General features: G+C 36.8%; 1 pseudogene, besides 1 other annotated feature; it reads left to right on the plus strand.

The window, feature by feature from the left end:
* YTHDF1P1 (YTH domain family member 1 pseudogene 1) lies at positions 3512 to 5544 on the plus strand (annotated as a pseudogene).
* Positions 23222 to 24421: an enhancer, noted in NCBI's record as "P300/CBP strongly-dependent group 1 enhancer chr5:96724001-96725200 (GRCh37/hg19 assembly coordinates)". NCBI's record gives its function as "activates an origin of replication core promoter dependent on BRD2, BRD4, P300/CBP, MED14 and CDK7 cofactors, with strong dependence on P300/CBP, by STARR-seq in HCT116 cells {active_cell/tissue: HCT116}" and the evidence as "EXISTENCE:reporter gene assay evidence [ECO:0000049][PMID:35650434]".

The following is a 26425-nucleotide window of genomic DNA, read 5'->3' on the forward strand; positions in this document are numbered from 1 at the left end:
TTTGGGATAGCCACTCATTTTTTCATTAACAAACATTTCTTGAGCAAATATGATGTGCCAAGCACTATTCCAGAGGCATGGGATACATCTGCAAATAAAATTGATGAAAGACTCTGCTTTCATAAAGTATTAACTTTACTTGCCTTTATTTACATAAAATAAGTAAATTGTATACTATGTTAGAAGTTAATAAGTGCTATGGGAGGAAAGGGAAAGTGGAGCAGGATAAAGGAGAGTGGCAATTGCTGAAGAGGGCATTGCAATTGGAGAGTGTGATCAGTCTTATTAAGGTGACATTTGAGTCAAGACTTGAAGGGAGTGAAAGAGGTAGTCATGCATGTACTAGGCAAGAGCATTCTAATACTAGGACAATTCATGCAAAGGCATGGAAGTGGGAAATTTCCTGGGATGTTCAAGGAAGAGCAAAAAGGCCTATGTGGCTAGAGTGAAGAGAGTGAGAGGAAAGTAGCTAAAACTGTGTTCAGAGTGGGAACAGGGGTCAGATCAACAGACTGCTGTAAAGACTTCAGATTTTTTACTATGAATGGGGAGCCAGCAGGGTTTTGAGTGTCCCTGGGGCTGGTATTCTGAGACTAGGTGGTAAGGGGTAGAATGGCAGCAGTTAAGAGCAGATGAAGACAGGGAAAGAGCTGTTGGTGGCTTGGTCCAGGGTGGTAGCAGTGAGAAGTGTGGGAAATAGTTGAATTCTGGATATATTTTGAAAGTAACAGCAGCCAAATTTTTTGATAGGTGACAAAAGGGGCATGAGATAAAGAGAAGCGTGATTGTAAAGTATTTTGCCTGAGCATCCAGAGATTGGAGATGTCATTAAATAAGATTGTGGAGTGGGTGAGAGCAACAGTCAGGGGCAACACAACGATAAACCATAAAACATTTTTCTAGTGCAGGACCTATTTCATATTATTGTCATTTTCCAGTGTGTTATTACTTATTATTTCAATGTTTAAATAAGAACCATCTGGAAATTTCCACTGTGGCGTAATTCAAGCTACTAACATGATGTCCCTGAAAGTGGAATTGGGAAGAAATGAGTACTATAGGCTCTTGAAAGACAGGGCAAGCTGCCTCGAGCACACTGTGACTGAGCTCTGTGGCTTAGAACTCATCTTTCCAATATCAACTGGACATTGTTGGGACCTCCTGAGCATTAGGGCAGGCTAGTTTGTTATATACACACTAGACTTTACATGTCTATATATGTGCTCGACCTCAGACTATAATTCAGCTGTTACATTTTGTAGGGCTGAGAATTTATTTAAAATAAGCATTCTTTTGGTAGAAATTTGGCTATAGGCTATTCTAGGAATCAGAGCCTTTTTTAAATTTTATTTTCTTGTTTGGATGTTTGGAATAAATTCACAATTTACACATATTCCTTTAAGTTGAATACTTACAGACTGCTGACAACTATTGATAACTTGGTTTTTTGGTTCTAAGACACTTCGATCTAAACCAATGGCACTTGAAAATCTATATATTCTCTTTAACAGTAATTCATTGAAATATTAATTTAGCAAACTCATTTTAGAGTCCAATGAACAGTGTCTTGTAAAATGAAGTCTGTTTGATTGCATGACTGTATGAAAAATGCTGATATGTTTAACTTGGCTAATATAGAAAGTGTTCTATTGTTTGTAGTAGTGGTGGTGTTTTTCACCAAGTGTGCTGTGTTAAAGCCCATCTTGAATATTAAGCATTTGGTCCATGTATTGCTGCAAAATACCCTGGCTCTATAATCCTTTAAAGATAAATTGGGTGAAACAAATCTGACCAGTCCTGGGGGTATTAATTATATTTCAAAATGAACTCAAGCCCAGATACACATTTCTAAATTGCGATTTTCATGGAAAGTGATTATTCAGGACCGGTAATAATATGAAATGTTGTAGTTTAGTAGATGTGTTATATTATGAAAACTGACAAAAGTAAGATTTTTTTTTTTTTGTGTGTGTGTGTTTCATGAGACATAATGCCTTACCATCATCAAACTTTAAAACCTTATTCATATGTAATATAAACTTATTTGTGCTAACTTCTTATTTTTAAAATTTGAAATAAAATTGACACATATGTATTATCTAATATAGCAGCTCTTGCCATATATGGTTTTTGAGCATTTGAAGTGTGGCTGGTCTGACTGAGGAACTAAATTTTAAATTGTATTTAATTTTAAATAATTTAAATTTAAATTCTTATGGCCACATGTGGCTAGTGGCTACAATATGGAACAGTGCAGCCTCAGATAGTACCTCTCAACTGGGGATCTAGAAGGGAGTTAAATCCTCATGACCAAAGGCATACACTGTTTCTAATGCATCAGTTTACCTCTCGTGCATCAAGAATGATACTATGTATCATTATTAGAATAATTAAGAAGATAGCGTCTCAAATTATTTTCTGTGAGGTCTAATTCTCTCATTGCATCTAATTGAGAATGGCTGTTTTAGAAAGTTCCTTCATTTCCTTTTCCATTCATACCACCCCCAAAGATCCCCCAAATGAAAATCACTATTCTTTTGTTTGTATCCATTGATTATTTTTGCCTGTTCTTTGACTTCGTATAGATAGAAATATACAGTGTGTTTTATGTTGGGGACGACTTCTGTCACTTTACAAAATGTTTTTGAGATCCATATTGTATCTAGTAATAGTTCATTTATTTGTATTGCTATGCAGTATTTCATTGTATCAACATATCAAAATTTGTTTACCTATTTCCAAATTTGTCCATTTCATTTAAGTTGACAAATTTATTAACATAAAATTTTCATAACATCTTTTATTATCTCATTAATTTCTATAGTATCTATAATAATGTCCCCTATCTCATATTTGATGTCAGCAATTTACTTATTCCATCTTGCTAGGACTTTATCAATTTTATAAAAAATTTTAAAAAATGACTTTGACCTTGTTGATTTTCTCTATGGTTTTATATTTTATTTATTCCTTCATCACCATTAGCCCTTTCTTTCACTTATTTTACAAGGTAAAATTAGTTAAAACTAATTAAATCTAGTTTTTCTCATAGGCTTTTATTTATTATATAAATTTCTGGTTATGTATGAAATGCCCATTCTTTCCCATTTATTTACTGATTCTGCAGACTTCATTGAGCACCTTCTACCCCATGGAAGGTGCTGGGATAAGCATTAGTAAACAAGATCGCCACATTTCTTGCCCTTTTGTCTTCACAATTTTGTTGAGTAGGTGGATAGCGGGAAAGAAATGGCAAGGATAGCCAGGCCTGGTGGCACATGCTTATAATCCCAGCTACTTGGGAGGCTGAGGCGGGAGGATTGCTTGAACTCAGGAGTTTGAGACCAGCCTGGGCAATGTAGTGAGCCCTCAGTCTCAAAAAATAGAGAAAAAGAAATGGCAAGGATGATAACTACCATGATGGAAAAATAGAAAATTACAGAGGAATATTGGAGTTTATAACAGGAAACTTACATAGACTGGGGCTTGGGAAAAGCATTACTGAGGTAGTGCCTCACCAGTGGCCTGAGCACCCAGCAGCCACTGCCACTGCCACTGCCCAGCTGGTACCTGGGGAGTTGGTGGTGAGGCCAGAGATTGCGTTAGCAGAGATGACAGGCCCAGCCTCACAGGGATGCTTGAGCCAGCCAGTGTCCCGGCCCTGCACTGCCCCAGGCTGTTCATGAAGCATGTGACCATCAGCATGGACACTTAGAGAACAAAAGGACAAGATAATAAAGTACACAATGATTCTTTGCATCAGAAGGATGTGGTTCATGACAATGACTTTCAGCCCTACCTTTCTGGAGAGTCAAATTAGAGTAACAATTACCCTTCAGTGAGTGACCTCTACCTGTCCGGCTATTACCCACCATCCACTGGAGTTCCTTAATCCCTCAATGAGGCTCTGTGGTCCACTGCAAGGGACCCTTTGATTCTACACCTCATCACCTATGAACAGCTCAGTAACAGAGATCATAATTTTATGCACAATTCTATTTTGGGGTGGCCTTGGGGTCCGGAGAACAAAATCTATCAGCACAGGTTTAATTTTTACCCCCAAACCCTGTATTCTTGGCATGGAGGACAAGTGGGTCTCAAGGGTAGCAGATTCAGAGCTCTACATATGGGAGCAGCTACACCTACCCCCAAGCTCCCTGGGCCACGCAGTGGTTGATGGGCAGATGGGCTTTCACAGCGACACCCTTAGCAAGGCCCCTGGGGTGAACAGCCTGAAGCAGGGCATAGTCAGCCTGAAAATTGGGGATGTCATCTCCTCTGCAGTCAAGACAGTGGGCTCTGTCATCAGCAGTGTGGCACTGATTGGCATACTTTCTGGCAATGATGGGACATATGTGAACATGGCAGTTTCAAAGCTGACCTCATGGGCCGCCATTGCCAGCAAGCCTGCAAAACCACGGCCTAAAATGGAAACAAGGAGTGGGCCTGTCATAGGGGGGTGCATTGCCCCCTCCATCTATAAAGCATAACATGGGTATTGACACCCAGGATAACAAGGGGCCTGTGCTGAAGACCCCGGCCCCCCAGGAGACATGATCCTCACAGGCTGTCCTACAACCCCAGAAGGTGCTTCAGCTTCTCCCAGTGAAGCTTCCTGCTTTGGCTCAACCACAGTATCAGAGCCCTCAGCAGCCATTCCAGACCTGCTGGATCATTCCTCACGTGGAAATATGGCATTTGGGCAGAGCAGAGGGGCTGACAGTGGTAGTAACTCTCCTGGAAATACCAAGACTAATTCTGCCCCAAGTATAAAAAAAAGTGAAAGCTGCCCACAGTTATAATCCTAAAGAATTTGACTGGAATCTTAAAAGTGGACATGTACGCATTATAAAGAGCTATTCTGAGGATGACATTCACCACTCCATTAAGTACTCCCTTTTGTGTAGTACAGAACATGGCACTACTTAGTTGAATAGTGCATTCAGCTCCATAAGCAGCAAGGGGCCTGTCTGCCTGCTCTTTGGCATCAGTGGGAGTGAGTATTTCTGTGGGGTGGCGGAGATGAAGTGCTCTGTGGACAGCAGCACCAGTGCCGGAGTCTGGTCTCAAGACAAATGGAAGGGGAAGTTTGATGTCGAGTGGATTTTTGTCAGTGATGTACCCAATAACGAGCTCAGGCACATCAGACTGGAGAATCATGACAACAAGCCAGTCATAAACCATGACACACAGGAGGTGCCTTTAGAAAAAGAAAAACAAGTGCTGAAAATTATTGCTTCCTACAAGCACACAACCTTTATCTTTGATGACTTTTCTCACTACGCGAAATGCTAGGACGATGAGGAGGTGATGTGCAAGGAATGACACAATCAAAATAAACAATAAGAACAAACCAGTTTCTTGTATGTTCTATCATTTGATTTTGAAAAAGCATTTATAAAGCACGTGCTTGGTCAGCTCCAGTGTGTCGTCCTTTGCAAGGGCTGAGTGTTGCATTTTTGTCTTTTTGTAGTTCTTTTTTTTTTTTTCGCAGATGGATCCACATTCACCTGTACTTTTTAAAATGATACTGTAGAACTCACTCTCATGCCTGTAATCCTGCCACATTGCGAGGTGGGTGGATCATGAGGTCAGGAGTTCAAGACCAGCCTAGCCAAGATGGTGAAACCCCATCTCTACTAAAAATACAAAAATTAGCCAGGCATGGTGGTGAGTGCCTGTAATCCCAGCTACTTGGGAGGCTGAGGCAGGAGAATTGCTTGAACCCAGGAGACGGAGGTTGCAGTGAGCCATGCTCTGCAGTGAGCCTGGGCGACAGAGTGAGACTCTGTCTCAAAAAAAAAAAAAAAAAAAAAAAAAAGTTTTTTTGGGTCACCTTATCAATGAGACCAATGTGAAATATAAGTATCCTTAAAAACAAACAAAGCAAAACAAACCTAGTACATCCCAATTAATTTTTTCTATTTTGTCAGAAATTATGATCTTTTTCCTAAATTCACAGTCATTTAATATCTCCATTTGAGATTTCATAATTCTCACCCTTTTATTGCTTTATAGCAAACATAAGAAACCATGAGTTGTTTTCTCATTTGAGAGTATTCTGTTAAAATCCCTTGAAAATATCTACCAAGTGGCTTCTCTGTTCCTTCCCTGTTGTCTGATCTGGCTGGATAGTAATGGGATGCAGTGTGCAGAGGAATTGGAAGATGTTTTAGGTCTGGTTCAATGTTTAGTCATTCTTAGTTGTTTGCAGATCATTTTTAATTTCCCCCTTTTTCTTCACTTGAGAATCCTTATGGTGTCTTAAAGTTTTATACCAATAATGCTGAGCTTTAAGTGTAGAATCTCATAGTACAGACAGAGTGAAGGATGATGTCACCAATTGTAAATTTCACCATGTCTAATTTTTTTTTTCTGTTGAATGGGTAAAAACAAAAAATAAACCCATTTAAAAAATGAATTAGGCCAGGCACGGTGGCTCACGCCTGTAATCCCAACACTTTGGGAGGCCAAGGCAGGCGGATCACCTGAGCTTGGGAGTTCGATACCAGACTCACCAATATGGAGAAACCCTGTCTCTACTAAAAATACAAAATTAGCCAGGCGTGGTGGTACATACCTGTAATCCCAGCTACTCAGGAGGCTGAGGCAGGAGAATCGCTTGAACCGGGGAGGCAGAAATTGCAGGGAGGCAGAGATTGCAGTGAGCTGAGATCATGCCATTGCACTCCAGCCTGGGCAATAAGAGCAAAAACTCTGTCTCAAAAAAAAAAAAAAAAAAAAAAAAAAAAAGATTTATAAAAAAACAGCTTTCATGTTTTGTGAAATGAGGGACTCATGAAATAATTGGACTCACCACCACCTGGAATTTCAGTTGAAGATGAACATAGTGACTCCACCAAAGGATTCTACTTGCACTCCAGGAATGGTTCCTTAACCGAAATGGAAATTCACAAATGACAGATAAAGAATTCAAAGCAGGAATTGCAAGAAAGCTCAATGAGATCCAAGACAAGGTTGAAAAGTAACACAAAGAAACTTTTAAGCAATCTAGGAAATGAAGGAAGAGATAAACATCTTAAAAATAAATCAATCAGAGTTTCTGGAATTAAAAATCTTAAGGAATTTCAAAATAATGACACTCATAGGCTCAAAGTAAAGGGTCAGAGAAAGATCTGCCATGCAAATGGAAAAGAAAAAAAGAAGGAATTGCTATTCTTATATCAGAACAAAACAGACTTTAAACCAACAACAGTAAAAAAGAACAAAGAAGGGCAATACATAATGATAAAGTGTTTAATTCAAGAAGGCTTAACTATCCTAAATATTTAAGCTCCCAACATTGGAGTATCCAGATTCATAAGACAAGTACTTCTAGACTTGTTATAAGATTTAGACAGTCACACAATAATAGTAGTGACCTTCAACACCACAATGACTGCATCAGACAGATCATCAAGTCAGAAAACTAACAAAAAAATTCTGGACTTAAACTTGACACTTGACAAATTGGACCTAATAGACATCTACAGAATACTCCACCTATCAACCACAGAATATACATTTTTTTATCTGCACATGAAACATAGTCCTAGATTGACCACCTACTCCCCTATAAAGCAAGTCTCAATACATTCAAAAAAATCAAAAACCTACCAACCGTACTCTCAGACCACAGTGAAACAAAAATAAAAATAAATACTAAGAAAATCTCCCCAAAGCATACAATTTCATGGACATTAAACAATATGCTCCTGAATGACTTTGGGGTATATGATGAAATCAAGGCAGAAATAAAAAAATTTCAACTAAATAAAAACAGAGACACAAATTACCCTAATCTATGGGAATTAGCAAAAGCAGTGTTAAGAGGAAAGTTTATAGTGCTAAATGCCTACTTCAAAAAGTTAGGAAGATCTCAAATTAATGATCTAACAATGCACCTCAAGGAACTAGGAAAACAAGGATGAACTAACCCTAAAGCTAGCAAAATAAAAGAAATAACTAAAATTAGAGTGGAACTGAATGAAATTGACACCCAAAAATTCATATAAAGAATTGATGAAATCAAAGGTTGGTGTTTGAAAGAATACACAGGATTGATAGACCACTAGCCAGATTTACAAGGAGAAAAGATCCAAATAAACACTATCAGAAATGACAAAAGTGACATTACAACTGAACCCACAGAAATAAAAAAAAATGCTCAGGGACTATTATGAATACCTCTATGCACACAAACTAGGAAATCTAGAGGAAATGGATAAATTCTTGGAAAAACACAATCTCCTAAGATTGAGTCATGAAGAAATTGAAACCTCGAACAGAACAATATCGGGTTCTGAAATTGAATCAGTAATAAAAAAACCTAACAACCAAAAAAGCCCTGGACCAGAAGGATTCATAGCTGAATCCTACCAGATGTACAAAGAAGACCTGGTACTTATTCTACTGAAACTATTTCAAAAATTTGAGGAGGAGGGTCTCCCCCTTAACTCATTATATGAAGCTAGCAACACCCTGCCAAAGACACAACCACTAAAGAAAACTACTGGCCAATATCCCTGATGAACATAGATGCAAAAAAACCTCAACAAAATACTAACAAACTGAATTCAGCAGCACATCAATAAGTTAGTTGACCATAATCAAGTAGGCTTCATTCCCAGGATGCAAGGTTGTTTCAACATATGCAAATCAATAAATGTGATTCATCACATAAACAGAATTATATTACAAAAACTATATGATCATCTCAATAGGTGCAAAAAGAGCTTTAGATAAAATCCAGCATTCTTTCATGGTAAAAACCCTGGAGAAACTAGGCAACATACCTCAAAATGATGAAAGCCATTTATGACAAACCCACAGCCAACAACATACTGAACAGGCAAAAACTGGAAGCATTCTCCTTGATAACTGGAATAAGACAAAGATGCCTACTCTTCCCCCTCCTATTCAACATAGTATTGGAAATACTAGTCAGAGCAATCAGGCCAGAGAAAGGCATCCAAATAGGAAAATAAGTCAAACTATCTCTTCTTGCTGATGATATAATTCTATTTCTTGAATACCCTGAAGACTTCACCAAAAGGCTCCAGGAATCAGTAAACAACTTCATCAAATCTTTAGGATACAAAATCAATGTAAAAAAACCAGCCGTATTTCTATATACCAATACTGTTCAAGCTGAGAGCTAAATCAAGAATACAGGGGGTGGGGTAGAGGGAAGGAGAGCATTAGGAAAAATAGCTAATGCATGCTGGGCTTAATACCTAGGTGGTGGGTTGATAGGTTCAGCAAACCACCATGGCACATGTTTACCTATGTAACAAACCTGCACATCCTGCTCATGTACCCCAGAACTTAAAATAAAAATAAAAATTAAAAAATTTCTGCATATCGCTAATCATTACAGAAATGCAAATCAAAAACACAATGATGTAATTCCAGCACTTCGGGAGGCCTAGGCATGTGGAACACTAGAGGTCAGGACTTCGAGACCAGCCTGGCCAACATGGTGAAACCCCATCTCTACTAAAAATACAAAAATTAGCAGGTCCTAGTGGCATGTGCCTGTGATCTCAGCTACTCCAGAGCTTGAGGCAGGAGAATAGCTTGAGCTCAGGGCAGGGTAGTGGAGATTGCAGTGAGCTGAGATCAGCCTGGGCCACAGAGTGAGACTCTATCTCAAAAAACAACAGCAACAGCCGGGTGTGGTGGCTCACACCTGTAATCCCAGCACTTTGGGAGGCCGAAGTGGGCAGATCATGAGGTCAGCAGATCGAGACCATCCTGACTAACACGGTGAAACCCCGTCTCTATAAAAATACAAAAAATTAGCCGGGCATGGTGGCGGGTGCCTGTAGTCCCAGCTACTCTGGAGGCTGAGGCAGGAGAATGGTGTGACCCCGGGAGGCGGAGCTTGCAGTGAGCCAAGATCGCGTCACTGCACTCCAGCCTGGGCGACAGAGCAAGACTCTGTCTCAAAACAACAACAACAACAATAACAACAGCAACAACAACAAAGCTCCACAATGAGATAGCATCTCACACCATTCAGAATAGCTATTATTAAAAAGTCAAAACACAACAGATATTGGTGAGGCTGCAGAGAAAAGGGAGCACTTCTACACTGTTGGTAGAAATATAAATTATTTCAGCCACTGTAGAAAGCAGATTGGAGGTTTCTCAAAGAACTTAAAAAACAGAACTAACATTTGACCCAGCAATCCATTACTGGGTATATACGCAAAAGAAAACAAATTGTTCTACTGAAAACACATACACTCACATGTTTAGTCCAGTACTATTCACAATAACAAAGACATGGAATCAACCTAGGTGCCCATCAACAGTGGACTGGATAAAGAAAATGTGGTATATATACACCATAGAATACTTTGGAGCCATACAAAAGAATGAAATCATGTCCTTGCGGCAATATAGATCCAGCTGGAGGCCATTATCCTAAGCAAATTAATGTAGGAACAGAAAACCAAATACTGTGTGTTCTCATTTATAAGTGAAAGCTAACCATTGGGTACGTATGGACTTAAAGATGGCAACAATAGACACTAGGGACTACTAGAGTGGACAGGGAGGGAGGGGAGCAGGTGTGGAAAAGCTGTTGGTTCTATGCCCAGTACCTGGGTGATGGGATCATTTATACCCAAGCCTCAGCATCATGAAATATATCCAGGTAACAAACCTGTACATATACTCCAAAATTTAAAAGTTGAAAAATTAAAAAAATTAAAATTGCAAATTGATAACATTACATAAAAATTAAACATTCTGTTCAATAAAGAACTCATTGAATAAAATTAACTGATAATAAGTGGAAAAACATTTTCAAAATCTAACAGCAACTAGTGCTTAATATATAAACTACACAAGTGTCTCCTAAAAATCAACTAGAAAAAGGCACCCCAGGGAACAGACAAAAATAGATGAACATGAAATTACAGAAGAATAAACTTAGAAAACTAAGAGGCATGTGATAAGATGGTCAGAATGGTGAGTAATTTAAGAAATTCAAGTTCAAGCATCATTGAGCTGTAATTGTAAATGATTAGAGTGGCAGGTATTTGAAAGTTAGGTAATAGCAACTGAAATATGAAGGCATAAGAACTCTATTGCACTTCTAGTGGTAGTGGTAGTGGATCTGACATGACTTATTCAGATTAAGTGTAAGTGTATCCTACAACCCTACCTTTCTACTTCTGAGTACACATCTCAGTGAGCTTGAGGAGACACATGTGAGGATTTAGGATTTTCTTTGCAGAAATGTTTGTCAAGGCAGGAGTTGAAGGCAGCCCTGGATGTCTGCCACCTGGACAGAGATAGAAGAGCTGGGCCTATAGGTAGGTAATCCTAGGTTCCCATCACTGGGGCAGTGGGAAAATAAGCCTGGAAATCCATCACTGGGGCAGTGGGAAAGGAAAACTGGAAATCGATTACTGGGACACTGGATAGTTAAAATGTGGAACATGTAGATGTTTGAATACCAACCATCCTAAAAGAGTACTGTGAAATTTAAAATCATTTGTACTTTTCTGATTTTATATGTGAAGTCGCTTGGAGTGCTGACTTAAAATGTTCATTGGCCATTTGACAAAATGAGAGTGACCTTTATTAAATTTTTTAAGTCTGAAGGCTAGAGGATAAGGGCTTAGTTAAGGACTACTGGAATTCATTCCTCATCTTCAAATACTTTCTAAATTAAAAAAAAAAATACATGCAGAACATTTAATAAAGTCTAACAGTGTCAAAAGGATTAAAATTAAAAATTCATTCACCTGCTTCATGTCTTTTTATTTTCAAACTATAGCTTCCTTTGGCAGCCACTTTCACTCTTTTATAATAGTTACTTTATATTTTTAAGTTATATACTTACATTTCTTTCTCTCGATTAATTAGTTTAAGGCATTTATTTGAACTTGAATATCATAGATCAGGATTTTTGCTATCTTGCAACTCCCCTGTGATGATTAATGTTATGTGTCAAATTGACTGGACCAAGGGGTATCCAGGTTAAATATTTTGAGTGTATCTCTGGGAGTTTCCGGATGAGATTAGTATTTGAATCAGTGGACTGAGTAAAGTAGATACTCTTCCGCAATGTGAGTGGGCATCATTTAATCTGTTCAGGGTTGAGGGCCTGAATAGAACAAAAGGTAGAGGAAGGAGGAATTTGCCCTTTTTTTTTCCTGCCTCACTGTATGAGCTGGAACTTCTCATTGCAGCTTCTCCTGCCTTGGCCTGGAATATACTTACTTATGTGCAGATGGTAGATCATGGGACTTCTTATCCTCTAAAATCATGTGAGCCAATTTCTCACAACCTCTCTCTCCACATCAATCTATCTATCTATCTATCTATCTATCTATCTATCTATCTATCATCTATCTATCTATCTATCTATCTATCATCTATCTATTATATCTATTATATCTATCTCCTATTGGTTTTGTTTCTCTGGAGAACTCTAATACATCCCCACATTTCTAATATATACTATTTTTGGTTACATTATAGTTTTTGTTAAGTTAATATTTAGAGTTTCTATTTTTATGATGTTTTAAGTATCTGCTGAGTCAAATAGTATACTATAATAATGAAATAGATTACACTGGCTAATTATGGAAGACTTGGCTACACTGTGCCAAGAAGTTCAATGTTACCCGTATAGTAAGAAGTCCAGAAATAGCAGCTCAGTGATGATGAATAGGCTTCACTATGCCATTTGGGACACAAGTTTCATTCTGACTTTCCAATTGTTTTCATGTGGCTATTTGTATCATGCAGGTCACTTCTAGGTTGCAAGATTAATGCTTTATTTTCAGCATTCATCTATATTTCAGACAGGAAGAAAGAATGAAAACAAGCAGAAAGCTTGAGCTCTCTGAGTCTTTTTTCTTTTAAAATATTTTCCTAGAAGCTCTACCTAATAATGAGTTCCATTTACATCTTATTAGCTAGAGCAATGTCACATGGTCTCCCTTTTAGCTGAATATTGGCCTTCCTCAACTGGTCTTTTAATTTTCTTTTCTCTCCTATTCTCTAACTCTTTTCTTTTCATTGATTTTTTTTGGGAAAATTTCTAATTTCTAAATTTATTTTGTGAGTATGCTATTAATTTTTTCTAATTCTATCTGTTACATTTTTTAATTTAAAAGAAATTTTTTTATTTTCATAGCAATCTATATCTTGTTTCTTGATATAATTTGTTCTCTTATCTCTCTTAGAATATTGAAGATGATTACTTTAAAGCTTGCTGTTATATTCTATGCTGGTTGTGTTTCCTTTGTATTTTCTTGCTTTAATTGTTCTTTTGAGTTTTCTCAAACAGCTTAAGATCTTTAGGCGTGAGATATTAGATAAGACCCATAGTCTTCTTGGGCCATCATAACAAAACACAGTAGACAGGGTGACTTGAATAACAGAATTTATTTTCTCATAGTTCCTGAGTCAAGTTCAAGATCAAAGTGTTGGCAGGGTTGGTTTCTTCTGAAGGGCTCTCTTCTTGGCTTGTAAATCACTGTCTTCTTTCTGTGTCTTTACATAACCTTCCCTCTGTATGTTTCTGTGTCCTAATTTCCTCTTCTAAGCACACAAGTCATATTGTATTAAGGCCCACCTAGGACTTCATTTTAACTTAATTACCTATCTCTATAAAGATTCTCTCTCCAAACACAGTTACATTCTGTGGTACTGGGTTGGGGACTGGGCATTTAAGACTTTAACATGTGGTTTTGGGGGGACAAAGTTCAGTCCCTAAACAATCTTCATGGATATGTGGGGCAAATTGTTTTTTAGTTATTCTCTTCTGAGTGCTTTGAAGTCTAACAAGCCAATATTTTGCTAAATGCACTGGTCTTTATTTTCCTTCTTTCTATATTATATTTTGAGTTCAAATATATCTCCTGGTTTTAATGAATATGGAATTTCTATTTCTTTGTCTACTTGTGAGTTCTGGGAAGTATCTTGGAGGACAAAATGAATAGAAAGAGTAGAATGCTTTCTGTTCTTCATCTTAAAAATCAGAAATCTCTACTAATGCTTCTTGTCATAGGTTGGCCTCCCAAATAAGGACTCTGAGATGGATATTAGTGTGCAGGAAGTTTGTTAGGAAGCACTGTTGGGATCAACTCCTGTGGAGGTAAGGGAAGTAAATGAAACAGAGTTTGGCAGAAGTAGAAGTTGAGATGTGATGTGGTCTCAACAAAGGCTTCAGCTGAACCAGGATCTCTGAAGCTGGGATAGCTGTCAGAATTGTCCTGCATCCAGTGAGTGCCTTTGTACTTCTGCATCAGTCAATCATTAAACATTGGCGGGCCCATGATGAGAGAGTGACCTTGATTCAGGTGGCTCTTTTTAGGCATAGGATATTTTTGGAGAGAGCTGACATCTAAGGGCTGTAAGTTGGCAGAATTTCCAGAAACTGGAATGTAGGTCCTTCATTCCTGAGGGTGATCTGGGTAGCTCATTACAGCATCATCCACCCTTCTGCACATATACCTTATGATATATTCAAATTGGTTGACTGTGAATCTTCATCTCTCCTTTTCCTCATCTTGTTTATCTTCTTACATCATTAATCCCTACTTCTAATTTTGACCTGTCAGAATTCTATTGTTTTTCAAGAACCAGTTAAAGTGTCACATCTCTTATAAAGTCTTCATCAATCATCCTAGTGAAAAATAAAATGTATCTTTATTCTCTGAAACCCTTTTGACCCTGGATTTTATCTATAGCATGGCACATAGCATACTCTGCCTTAATCGTGGTTCATTATATAATTGGAACTCCTACGGGATTGTTAATTTCTTATGTACAAGAAACGACAATATTGTTGAAATATCTACATACTAGAAACTCAATAAATTTTCTTTGAATTTAGTATTCATTGAAATACATCCATTGCAGATCTAGACAACCAGAGATGGCCAAATGCCTTGTCTTGTAAAATGTCAGAGTAATGCACAAACAACTGACAGTAACAGCTAAGTCCCTTATCTCTTCTTAACCTAAAGCAATATTTTCAATGTTTTAAAATAGCTTGTGCTTGATGCAGTATTTGAACGGAAAGGATAATAAACAGAAATCAAGGTACAGTTTTTGGAAGAATAGCATAACTTTTGCCTTGTCCAAGGCTTTTGGTATGAATGGAACTGGATCTTAATCCTTTTAAGGATACTTTCTGCATGCCTATACAGCTAGTGATTTATTTTTGGTTTTTAAGGGTCATATTTTCATAAATTACAGATTTTCTCAATATTATACATTACAGATCTTAAATACTTGAGTTATTATTAACACGAAACTAAGAAAAGAAAAGTCTATCAGAGACATGAGGGTAATTCAAAATATTTGGTCATCTTTACACATGATTGAGGTACATTAGTTTACTAAGTTAATATGCTATGAATAAAAAAAATATGATATTTCTTAGTAGTCTAGTGTCTGCTCTTTTCTGATTGACCCTATTTTATGTAAGCCCAATAATTTTCTCTGAGAAATCATTGTGTTTAGTTCTTTTATAATTGGTATGTGATATCATCTCCTTAAAATTCTCTCATTTTTCTGATTTCACTGCTTTATTTCATTCTTTATTTGCATAGAATCTTAAAGTTTTTAACTACATATGACCCAGTGCACACATGTGTAGTACGTAGTTCTGAAATAAAAGTTTCATGAAACAATACTTAGTGTGTAGGTACACTCTGCTGTTTTCTTTTCTTTTTCTTTGAATGCAGTAAGATATTGGTTGTGATCCATTAAACCCATTTCACAAACCCTAATGTACCAAAATCTGCAGTTTAAAGATCCTGCTTTAGAGGGCTAACCCATTCTTAGTCACAATTATCACTCTTCCTTAATCATGTGACACCCAGAACTGATTTCTCACCTAATCTTTTTCTTTGTTTTCCACCTTAACTCTGTCTCCAGGCCCTCATCATTTTATACCTTGATTCACATGATAGCTTGCTAGCTCGTCTCCCTACCTATATTCTCCTCCCTCCAACTTACTGCCTTCTAATTTGCTTTCAGCATACTAATTCTTTACTCCTCTTACACAAAGTATCTAGCATATTGCTTTGAGGAGCAGTTTTCAATGAATGCTTTTTGAATGATTGAACACTTAAATTCCCCATGGATTTTATCAGGAAGATAGCTATATAAGAAGGTACTCAGAGTTTCCCAAATTTGGTCCTGGTCTACTTCACTAAACTTCTCACCTGCTAAATGAGATAATGCCTGATGAATATTATGTATTTGGTATGCAATAGCCATGATATCTGGCATCACCATCAATATTATAACCTTTACAAACTCTCCATTTGAACTGTGTTTACTCTGCCTGTGTAAGTCTCCTTTTTATTCTGTTTGTCTAAGTTTGTATCTCTGCATGAAGTTTATTTCTTTTGTAAAGCCTCTTGGGTCATGCCATTTCTCATGTACCTTTTCCGTATTTGAACTTTTATATTGCTAATTGTTTGAATCTCTCATGCCTGCTATGAATGCCAGCTAATTGTATTATAAAGTGCTTCCTGGAGAATATTCTGTGGAGTATTTTTCTTTGGATAGAGGGGCTTAGATGCTCCATAAAAAGGAACAAAGAAAGGAAGAAAAAGAATAAACGATAGGAAAAGTAATGAAAGGGAAACGAGTAAAACGATAGTCTATGTAAAAATAAATTTGAAAACTTATGGGTTAAGTGAAGTTAAAGCTACATTTTTAAATATTTGACTGCAGGATTTCTCAGAGTCTTAATGAACACTATAAATCTCCAAAGGGTAAAAATTATACATAGTCATTCCCAAGAATCAATCTATAAGACTGTAGATCCATTTGTGGTCACAACAATCTTCCAGGACTAGAATTCCTCAGAACATACTTCAAGTAAATAGGGTGTAATTATTTCACACATACTTTTTAGTTTTCCTTCACAGCATCTGTGTTTATCAAACACTGTTATATTCCCAGTTTAACAGATGAAGCAACTGAGACTTAAAGAGGCTTACCATTTGCCTAAGATCACAAAGCCTTTAGAGGCAGCACTAGCATTTGAATTTCTAGCTCCTGAGTCCAGGCTTAGCCTCACCTGTTGGGAAGATGACCTCTTGATAACCTCTCTGATCTGTAAAAATGGGGCTGCTGAGCAGATTCAGTGAGATGTGGGATGTAAACTACATGGCTTTCAAAAAAGGTTAGCTCCCTTTATTTTTTACTTTATTCTAGCCACTTAACATGGTATTTTATTTTATTACTTTAAAAAAGATGTGTCTTGATTCTTTATGTAGATATCCTTGATTGAAGAGAAGCTTATATGCCTCTTTTCAAGTCTTTATAAAGCTAAGTCCAGTGCTACTTAGATAAATGCAAAATTCAGAGGTTCATAGTTCTTTGTAATAAGAAAAGAGTATCTGAAGATGATTTTGAAGATGTCACTTTTTTTTGAAATTCTATTTTATTTTATTTTTTTATTCTCTTTTCATTCTTTTTATTTATTTATTTATTTATTATTATTATACTTTAAGTTTTAGGGTACATGTGCACAATATGCAGGTTAGTTACATATGTATACATGTGCCATGCTGGTGCGCTGCACCCACTAACTTGTCGTCTAGCATTAGGTATATCTCCCAATGCTATCCCTCCCCCCTCCCCCCACCCCACAACAGTCCCCAGAGTGTGATGTTCCCCTTCCTGTGTCCATGTGTTCTCATTGTTCAATTCCCACCTATGAGTGAGAATATGCAGTGTTTGGTTTTTTGTTCTTGTGATAGTTTACTGAGAATGATGATTTCCAATTTCATCCATGTCCCTACAAAAGACATGAACTCATCCTTTTTTGTGGCTGCATAGTATTCCATGGTGTATATGTGCCACATTTTCTTAATCCAGTCTATCATTGTTGGACATTTGGGTTGGTTCCAAGTCTTTGCCATTGTGAATAATGCCGCAATAAACATACGTGTGCATGTGTCTTTATAGCAGCATGATTTATAATCCTTTGGGTATATACCCAGTAATGGGATGGCTGGGTCAAATGGTATTTCTAGTTCTAGATCCCTGAGGAATCGCCACACTGACTTCCACAGTGGTTGAACTAGTTTACAGTCCCACCAACAGTGTAAAAGTGTTCCTATTTCTCCACATCCTCTCCAGCACCTGTTGTTTCCTGACTTTTGAATGATTGCCATTCTAACTGGTGTGAGATGGTATCTCATTGTGGTTTTGATTTGCATTTCTCTGATGGCCAATGATGGTGAGCATTTTTTCATGTGTTTTTTGGCTGCATAAATGTCTTCTTTTGAGAAGTGTCTGTTCATGTCCTTCGCGCACTTTTTGATGGAGTTGTTTGTTTTTTTCTTATAAATTTGTTTGAGTTCATTGTAGATTCTGGATCTTTGTCAGATGAGTAGGTTGCAAAAATTTTCTCCCATTTTGTAGGTTGCCTGTTCACTCTGATGGTAGTTTCTTTTGCTGGCAGAAGCTCTTGAGTTTAATTAGATCCCATTTGTCAATTTTGGCTTTTGTTGCCATTGCTTTTGGTGTTTTAGACATGAAGTCCTTGCCCATGCCTGTGTCCTGAATGGTAATGCCTAGGTTTTCTTCTAGGGTTTTTATGGTTTTAGGTCTAACGTTTAAGTCTTTAATCCAGAAGATGTCACTTTTAATGTGGTTTATTATCTGGGTATTATATACATGTTTTAAAACAGCAGTTATGTATACTTCTTTTATATGGTATATTTTCATTGATTATCATTTGAGAAGGTAACAGACAGTTTAGAGTAACATTATGCAAATTGTGAGATTAACTAGATTTTGCAAAACTTTCCCTGTAATTTAAGAATATTAACAAAAATATTATTTACTATAATTCAAAGTAAAATTTAAAAAAAGCACATTTGACTGGCCTTTGACTTTGGGGGTGGTGAGTCATCATTGTCCCATAAAAATACCCTGTTATGATTTGTTTCTACAAACAGACTTCTAGCTCTGTATTACATGCTGAGTTTCTAACTTGTTTTATTCAATTTCAAACTTTCAGCACAGCATCTTGGCCCTTTAGCATATGGTTCAGCCTAACTTTTAAATTATATTTTCACATTTTTCCTTACCTACTCCTTAATTTCTGACTCATTAGTCTCCAAACATGTCCTCTGCATTCTTTCCAGCTTGCTCATGTTGACCCTTCTGTCTGTTGAAATCATAGGTACCATCTCATGCCTTTCTCAAAATTTCATCTTCTCGATGAAGATCTTCTTAATCCTTTCCACTGAACTTGAATTCTGATATCAGTTGATCTAACAGTTTTTATGTCAATATGCCAATATTATTCTATCTCTTATAACATATTATTCTGTTAGATGTATTCTGTTTTTTCCTCCCACTTCTCCATCCTCCACCTCCCCTCCCACCCTATGCTCCCAGACTCTTGAAAGAGGATTTGAGAATATTAAATGAGTCATATTGATCTTTGTATTACAATGACAACAATAACAATAATAAAAACAATAACTTCTAAGTCTTGTTGAGTGTTCACTAGTTGAAGATGGTGTAGTACTGTTGCATTATAATATATCATGAGTTTATACCACTTCACAATGACATAGCTAATATTTTTACTTCATTTTATAGATGGGAAAACTCAGGCTTAGAGAAGTCACCAAGGTCAGTTAGGGAGTGACAGGGCCATGATTTGACCCCTGGCACTAGGATTCCAGAACTCATATTTTGGACCACTACATAGGATTGTAATCTCCAAAGGTGCATCACCTATCATAGAAGTTCAATAATAGATAAAAATTGAATTTGCATTTTCAAAGAAACATGCTTTTCTATATTAAATTTTGGGGCATTATGGTTGGTCTGTGTTACATTTGTGCTTCCTTCACAAACATGCATTGCTTCCTTCAAAAACATGCTCATAGCAGTACCTTATTTTTTATAAAATATTATTTTTATTGGAATTAACATAAGCACTCTATGGAGTATAAAAGATTAGGTTGACTATGATTTGAAAAACAAGGGATTTAAATCATCGACTACCTATCATACCAGTTGAGGAAACATGATTTTTCAAACTCAAGTTAATAACTTTTCCATTATGAAGCATCATTCGGTGGAAATTTTAATGATACTTATTTCTACTGCTTATTACCAGCTATTTTTAGCTTATCTCTTGTCAAATAATTCAAGGTTATCCTTCTGCCTATTTACTGCAGGCCAGGGAGGGCAAATAGACATAGTCTCAAGGATCATCCATGTTTGTTCCATTAGTAGTAGCTGCCTGGATCCCTGAGTTGAGATTCTGAATCTTTGCCCATGTCCTCAGGAAAGAGTTCTATCATTACTTAGGAGTATCTGACATAACAATAGAGTTTGTGCAAATAACACAGTGTCTGCTACACATCTGTCCTTTCTGTTGTAGGCTGCTGTCTTTCAGTATTGTGTAGACATATGTTAACATACAAGTGAATTTTGGTATTAAGACATAACTGACCAACCAAATGCCTAGACTACAAAGAGTGAATCATTCCAACTTGGAGATTTTGGAATAGATCCTTCTTTATATTCCTTTATAATGTGTGAATGTGCAGGTATTTTAGCATTATTTCTATTAGTATCTCTGTTATGATATTATGATTTACACATTCCTATCCTATGTTATGTATCTCAACACTATTTTCTTATGGTTTTTGTTATTGAAGAGCTTTCAACGACTTTGGGTAATGCCAAGAATACATTGGCTAAAACATTAATTTTATTTCTGGACCATTGCCTGGTTAGATGGAAAACATATATAATATGTGGTAAGTTTATTAGATTATTTTCTAGCTGTTTCCTCTGTATTTCCTTTTGAACCTACTGAATAAGGGTAGTCAATAAAAGTATTGCATTAGAATGATGACATTCCGTTTGTCAATGCCTTACTTGCTGTTTTCTAGCTAGCTTCAAGGAATACTTATGCATTATGCATCTTCATTAATCTTTACTACATTAAATCCAGTAGTGATTACACTTAAAGTCACTTCACACTTGCAGACTTTGCCTTTTGCTAACAGTATTGTCTGTGTTTGAGTCTTTTGTCTTCTTCCTTAAGTTGTATGATCATTTCAAACCAGTAAGAAGATAGGTGATTACCATTATTTCTTGGTGGTATCATGTACATTGTTTATGCTCATTAAAAGCTAAATCATATTTGCTTTTCAAATTCTAAAGCTAATTTGGGTTTTGCTGGAAATATTACAAACCTAAATTTTGCCATATATTTCTCATCTCTGCATGGAGATTTTCATCTATATCAACACATATTCTTGGCCTATTGATAGAGATCTGCATATGGATCTATAATACAAGATGAACACTTTTAGAAAGAGTTGTCTTGGTGTCTACATGACATGAAGAAACTAAGCTGCAATATTATTTCTCATAATGTGGATTTATTTTTATTTATTTATTTATTTTTTGAGATGGAGTCTCACTCTGTTGTCCAGGCTGGAGTGCAGTGGTGTGATCTTGGCTCACTGCAAGCTCCGCCTCCCAGGTACTTGAGATTCTCCTGCCTCAGCCTCCCAGGTAGCTGGGATTACAGGTGTCCACCACCACAGCCAGCTAATTTTTTGTATTTTTAGTAAAGATGGGGTTTCACTGTGTTAGCCAGGATGGTCTTGAACTCCTGACCTCATGATCCGACCGCCTCGGCCTCCCAAAGTGCTGGGATTACAGGTGTGAGCCACTGCACCCAGCTGGATTTATTTCTAAATAAAATTTCACTAAAAATTTTCTTAAAGATAACTTTCATCCTCATCTTATATTCCACTATATGTGTATTTTTTAGCTATAGGCATTTGCACCCACTCTGACTAGTTTAAACAGAAAAGGATTTATTCAGGATTATTAGCAATTTACACAATTATTAAGAGAGCTGAAGGAACAGACTTGAAATAATTAAACTGCTACAGGAACCTGCTGAGATATTCTATAGTTCAAATGCACCGAGTTATTTAACAGATATAAGAAGAAAGGGGTGAAGGAGAAACCTATAAATTAAAAGAGACTTAAAAGACACATCAGATTCTTAAAGAGGGTGCAAGATTAAATTATAGTGTCTAAGGATGCATACTTAGGTGATAACATGATAATGAATGGAAGGAAGTGAATGTTACAAATGTCAGAACAGTGATTAAATTTAGGAGAATAAGGGACTTATTACTGTGATGAGTTACATGGAGGAGTTGCTGGGTGGCTTGCAAAATTCTACTTTATGATCTGGGTGGTAGTTATAAGTGAGTTCATCTTAAAATATCTCATCAAGTTATTCATTTTTCAGTTTTTTTATCATTTTATTTTCCAAGAAAGTAGTTGAAAACAATTTAAAACAACATTATCAACAACATGTCAGTAGTATCACCTTCTTACAGGAGTTAGGTTACTTTTATAAATGTGTTGTTTTTGCATATACCATGTTTTTTATTGGAAGAGTTATATTAGAGAACTTTTACAGTTGAGTCATATGTAAAAACTATTTAAACATCTACTACAACAGCAGTGAACTCAGACTAAGATAAGGTAAATCTTTACTCAGATTAAAAAGCAAATACCTATAATTCTTCTTCTAGTGATGGTGTGTAGCATTAAATACCAACAAATTGAAAGTTTAAATACATAATAGATGGGAATGACTATGAAGATTATTAGTTTTCAAAAGCAGAGAAATCTTGGCCGAGGTAAACTTTCTTGAATTGAAGTGTTAGTATCTTTTTACATTTTAGATGTAGCTGGATAACTCACATAATAATTGATTTCAATTTACTATTAAGACAGCATAACAAAACTGCTTTAGCTTGTCCAGCTATCTTTTTCTTTCCTCCTGTGGTAAAATCCCCTTCCCACCTGCTCTCCCCTATTTCTTGCCCTTCCTTAGGAGACTGGCCCTCTTCTACTCCAGTTCTGGTGTGTTTGTGATAACAGTACCCTGCTTCTTGATTAAAAAAATCAGCCCAACGTACATGTGATCCAGGTTGGACCAATCAGAGGCCTTCTCTGAAATTTTATATATTGATTCAAAAAAGGAGATCTTTCTGTGTGTTCTATGGTCATTTGATGGGTTGATATGTGCCTAAAGAGGAGAATTTTCGAACATTCTCAAAAATGTGGTCCTGAGAGCTGGAGAGAAAGGGAAGCAGAAAGGTAAGACAATATTATTTGAGGTCTCATTTGCATCTGAATCCAGCTCTGCCTTACATTTCTCAATTGCAATGAACAAGTAAATTCCTTATTCCATTTTTGCTTATACTAGTTTAAAGTGTGCTTCTGTCATTTGTGAATGAAAGTTTCAACTATTTTAGGAAGCATAATAAATTTTCTCTTTTTACTTCTTTGATATCAGTTGAAAAATGTCGCAAGTGTCATTTTTACACTCTAAAATAGGACAGGAAAGAATTAGTATTAATCAAGTATCTGAGTCTTGATCTGCCAGCTAACTTCAGAAATTGTCGTCAGTCTTCTAGATTCTCATTAACATTTAATAAAGACATTTGTCAAGATTAATCAATGGACCTGGCAATTGTTAATTAAGCTCTCCTAAAGTATTTCCTCTTTAGCACTTAAATATTTACTTTGGAATATATATGATAGATCGTGTACAATTTGCTAATGACAAGAAGGATGCATTTGCCTTGAAGTTAATAATATTTTTAAGTTTTAGATTTGGAAATCAAGCATCTTTAATTTTTAAGAAGGAAAATAAATAGTTACTACACCCGAGGAGCCCTATCTGTATACAATCTGATTTGGAGGTTGCCATATTCTAGCCTTTGAGCGGATGGTGTGATGGGATGAGAATTTTGGGGACTCTGGGAGGGGATGAGTGTGTTTTGTATGTGGAAGGATGTGAGTCAATGGGGAGTCACAAAGCAAACTGTGGTAGGCAGTTTCTAAATGGCTCTCAATGATCCCTGCCTCCTGGTATTCATGCTCAGTGTAATCCCCTCCTCTTGAATGTAAGCTAGGACCAGTGACTCTCTTATAAGGAATAGAATATGGCAGAAGTGATGGGATGTCACTTTCTAAACTAGGTTATAAAAGACTGTTTTCTGTCTTGCTCACTCTCTCCTTTCAAAATTATTTTCAACTTTCCCTTATTGTACTAGTTTATTAAATATCAGTATCTTGCTGATATTTAGCCAAAGATGAAGTTTACCACTTACTTTGGGCTGCATTATCAAGCAGCTTGACTCTCGGAAGACTGGTCTCTCCTGTCCACTGTGCTGGCAGCCACTACAGGCCTTATACTGCATGAGCCTTCGATGATCTTTTTCACCCAGCCTAACTGAAAACACACAGGAAAGGGAATTCTCAAGTATATAATTCAGCCCAGCCACATTGCCATATTACAAAGCTACCAAAATTACTCAGAGTCCAGTTTATTTAGGAATGACAGGATAAATGCATGATTCTTTTCCTTAATTTACTACTTTTCAGGAAGAGGAATTGTTTCTTTATCATCCCCTGAAGTTGGCAAATTGTTTTTTTAGATTAACTTTTAATGTTAGAATGGGTTTAGATTCAGAAAAGGCTTGTGAAGATATTACATAGATTCCCCATAGACTGCACACCATTTCCCTTATTATCATTATTTTACATTAATATAGTATGATTGTTATAATTAATGGATCAATATTGATACATTATTAGTAAATAAAATTCATACTTCATTCATATTTTCTTATGTCCTTTTTTTTTCTATTCATGGTATCATTACATTTAGTGGATACCACACTGTATTTAGTGTCATGTTCCTTTAGGGTCCTCTTGGCTGTGACAGTTTCTAACACTTTACTTGTTTTTGATGATCTTGGCAGTTTTGAAAGCACTGCTCAGACATTTTCTGGAATGTCCCTAAATTGGAATTTGTAGGATGTTTTTCTTATGATTAGACTTGGGTTCATAACATTTTTGGGAGGAGAACCATAGAGGCAATATTCCATTTTCATTCTATCATATTCAGGATACATGCTTTCAATGTGTCTTATCACTGTTGATGTGGACGTTCATCAGCTGGCTGAGGTATTGCTTGTCAAGTTTCTCCACTGTATAGTTACTCTTTCCATGCTTCCCTTACATACTATACTCTTTGAAAGGTCACTATGCACAGCCCGCACTTGAGAGAGTGGGGAGCTATGCTTTACCTCCTTGGGGACAGAATAGCCACATAAATTATTTGGAATTCTTCTGCATGGGCAATTTGTATATTTTTCCCCACTGTTTTTTTTTTTTTTTGAGATGGAGTCTCGCCCTGTTGCCCAGGCTGGAGTGCAATGGTGTGATCTCTGCTCACTGCAACCTCCACCTCCCAGGTTCAAGCGATTCTCCTGCCTTAGTCTCCTGAGTAGCGGGATTACAGGCGCGTGCCACCATGCCCCGCTAATTTTTTGTATCCTTAGTAGAGATGGGGTTTCACAATGTTGGCCGGGCTCGTCTCGAACCCCTGACCCCATGATCCGCCTGCCTCGGCCTCCCAAAGTGCTGGGATTACAGGCGTGAGCCACTGCACAACTATTTAATGTCTTGTATTCCACATTACAATGTCATATAGCATAATTTCACCTATTCAACTCCCCTCACCCACCCAACTGCTAGCAACCACTGATACGTTTATCATCCCTATCATTTTGTCTTTTCCATGATGTCATATAAATGGAGCCACATATTACATGGCCTTTTCAAATTGGCTTCTTTCAAATAGTAATATACACTTAAAATTTATTAATGTCATTTTGTGGCTTATTAGCTCATTTCTTTTTATCACTCAGTAATATTGCACTGTGTGTATTAATATATACTAGAGTGTATTTATGAATTCAGATATAGAAAAACATCTTGGTTGTTTCTAGTTTTTGATAGCTATGAATTAAATTGTTATAAGCATTTATATGCATATTTTCTTGGGACATGTTTTCAAATTAGTTTGGTAAATATCTAGGAGTGCAGTTGCTGGATTATGTAGTAATGTTACCAAATGTTTAGCTTTGTAAGAAACTGCCAAACTGAGGTAGGAGGTGGGACTCAACTGTGGACCAGATTGAAGACTGGTTGAAACAGGAAGATACACTGAAAGCACTTTTCCATAAGACACACCTACCAGCACCATAACAGTTTACCATTGCTATGGCAGTACCCGAAACTTACTGCCCCTTCCTTCCTTTCCAAGGAAGTTACCATCCCTTTTCTAGAAATTTCTGAATAACTCTCCCCTTAATTTGCATGTAATTGAAAGTGGGTATAAATATGACTGTAGAACTGCCCTTGAGTTGCTATTCTCAACACGCTGCCTATGGGGTAGTGCTGCTTTGCAGGAGAAGTCATAGAGCTGTAACTCTGCTGCCTCAATATAGCTGTTTTCTTCTACTACCAGCTTGGTCTTGAATTCTTCACTGAGCAAAGC

This window comes from Homo sapiens, chromosome 5, assembly GCF_000001405.40.
Source record: "Homo sapiens chromosome 5, GRCh38.p14 Primary Assembly".
Lineage (NCBI taxonomy): Eukaryota > Metazoa > Chordata > Mammalia > Primates > Hominidae > Homo > Homo sapiens.